The 2792-nt window shown below is 49.7% G+C and overlaps 1 annotated feature.

Moving 5' to 3' along the window:
• Window positions 1183–1313: a silencer, noted in NCBI's record as "fragment chr11:134507261-134507391 (GRCh37/hg19 assembly coordinates)". NCBI's record gives its function as "represses an EF-1alpha promoter that drives an FKBP-Casp9 reporter gene in an ReSE screen in HepG2 liver carcinoma cells {active_cell/tissue: HepG2}" and the evidence as "EXISTENCE:reporter gene assay evidence [ECO:0000049][PMID:32094911]".

Genomic DNA, 2792 nt, shown 5'->3' on the forward strand with positions numbered 1-2792 from the left:
CCGGCCCTGCCTGCCTCCCAGTCCCACAGACTCCCGCTGTGCTCGGCTGACATTGGCCGGTCCGCTGCACGTGGCTCTGAGACGCTGCTGTGTGGTCTGCTCAATGCCTCCTCCTGGCTTGCTGGGACTCCCTGGCTGTGGCTGTGAAGCCGTGCCCACTGGTTGCATTGCTGGGGCTCGGGCCTCTCTGCCTCCTTTCAGACTTGGATGAGCTGCTGTGGCCCAAGGAGGGCCTGCCGCCGAGGTCTTCCCACTCCCCATAGGGCCAACTAGACAAACAGACCTGAGGTTATGGGACAGAAAGGAATTACATTCCTCCCAACCTCCTCTCCCCTGGACCGCGTCACAGTTTGGTTTCATAGAGCACAGCCCATAGGAGATCCGTGGACGTGAATAGATGAAGTCGCAGAGTGACTGACCACCTTCTCAGTGGCTCACCAGGAAGCAGAGGCCAGTGCAGGATACCCTGACCTCGAACTACTTTTCATTCTTCTCTTCTCCATCTCCCATTTATTTCACATGTGTATCAGGATTGCATCTATTAAGTAAAGCCTGAGTCTAAATCCTCACATCTGACTCTACTCTTTAGGGGAATTGGGCTGCATAAATTGTATGAGAGAAGTTCTTGAAAGCCAGCTCTCAGGGTGAGATTTTGGAGCTGGATGAACAGCTTGTGAAGGGCAATCGGAGCCATATGGATGATCGGTGTCAGAGGTGATTACCCTGGGCAGGCTGGGCCCTTGCTCGGTTTCCTTGGGAAGCAGAGAGCCCAAGACCCGGCGATGAGTGCAAATAGTTTTATGTTTTATGTTGAAGATGATAGCAGGAAGATGGAGTGAGGAGGAAGGGAGATTAAGAAAGACCTGAAGAAAAGCCCGTGTAAATGTGTGTTACTGAGGGAAGTCCCATGAGAAAAAGTGACTAAAGTTTGCTGAGACCTCTGATAATTTTTCACATAAAGATTACTGGGATGGACATTTAGTCACTGAGGCCCATCTCACATTGTTTGAAATTTGTCTCCAGGGACATTAACTCCCACAGCTGCTACACTACTTGTCCTTGGGCCGGTGAGCCAGGTGAGAGCTTGGTCAGCGCCACACAACAGGACCTCCAGGCCCGAGTGCCATAGGCTGGAAGAAGCTGAGGCACAGAGAGGCTGTGGTGGGGGAGGAGGGCCCTGAGGAAGAATGAGGGAGGATCTGACACACGCTGCTTGAAGCAGGGCATTTCCACTGAGAACCTGAACTTGCATGTAGTTGTCTATCTCAGGCAGCTCTGAAACCAGAGCTGGGTTGAAGACATGCTGTGGGAAACCAGAGACATCTGCCACAGTCTGTGCTTTCCTCATTCAGCTAGGCTGTGTCTTGGGCCATATCCTTATTAAAGTCACCCTCCTGGCCCCTATACAAACAAACTAGATTGGCAGTTGATGGATAATATCATAAGCTTAGCTAGGGGGAAGCTCCAGGCACAGCTACTCCTCTGGAGTGGTGTTCTTACTGGAGTGAATTAATGCGCCGATCATCATCTCACTGCCTCTCCACCGGAATCTGTCTTCCCTTGGCCTGCTTTGTGATCCTTGAGCTTGGCCTTGTGGCTGTGTCTCCCCAGCTAGCGGGTGCAATGCGATGCTTTTTCAATAGTCGACCCTGGAGGGAAGTTACAAGGTACAGCAGAGGTTGAGCCCTCTGTTCCTGATTCCTGTGTGCTCTTTTTCCTATTGCAGCATGGCTGGAATTCTGGGGTCCTGGGGTGCCCAGTAAGCTTGTCCGGCATGCCAGAGGATGACTTCCCATGGACCATCCCTGCCCTGTCAGCACCTCAGGGGACTTCTTTTCCACCCACAGTTGACAGCCGCAGGTCTGACTCTTAACTTTGAGGCTGAGTGAGCCCTTTTCCTCCTTGGCTGTCCCACTCAGTCCTAGAGGTAGGTAGAAATCCCTGCATTTGCCAAGTCTGTATTCCTTTGAGTTATTTTTCTCTTACCCCTTTTAGTAGTTCACCATGTTACTGTTACTAGTTAGTAATTCTTTACATTAAATTTTCCCTGTTCTAATTACAGAAAGTTGGCTTCTGTCTCTTGCCAGGGCACTTACAATAAGACACAATCTCTGACTCCTGAGAGGCAGCTGCTTATTTGGTGAAAATTTTTTTTTGCCAATTCTCATAATGAGGAAGAACCCATGGCAGCTTGCTCTTACATAGCAAGTACAGCAGTACAGTTTTACTCTTGTGCACCATAGCTCTGCTAACTTTCTTGATCTCTAATCCGAATGCAGTCCAGCGGGATCTAACTGCCTCAACATTCCAGGGCTCATCATGCTGGTCACATAAAAAACACCACACTGATTGGACCTGGAGATTAAGAAATGTGCAAATAGTGATATGCGGGTGTGCCAGAAATGGGAGGACAGAATCATGACAATACATTCACCTGTATGAAATTTTGAGGGCCTAAGGGACTAGGTTATGGTCCATCTCATTTAAGAAAAAGGACAAATTGCTGCTCCTCACACTTCCTTCAACTTAAAAAAAAAAGGTGTGCAGCTGTCTCTGGATCTTAGGGTGCTATTCTCTGCATTGCTAGCACTTCCCTGATGACAGAAACTTGTGCTGAGGTTTGTGATACTTGCCCTCATTCTTCCAGACCTGCTCTTGCCCTGTTTCTTCTCTGGCTTCTCCACTCCTAGCTCTGTAGCCCACCCTGTGATCAGGTGGGTGAGCATGGCCTCTAGGTTAGATCTGAGCTTTCCCCAGAAGACTCTGTCTTGCCTGCGGCTTTGGCTCTCAGC

This window comes from Homo sapiens, chromosome 11, assembly GCF_000001405.40.
Source record: "Homo sapiens chromosome 11, GRCh38.p14 Primary Assembly".
In the NCBI taxonomy this organism is placed as follows: Eukaryota; Metazoa; Chordata; class Mammalia; order Primates; family Hominidae; genus Homo; species Homo sapiens.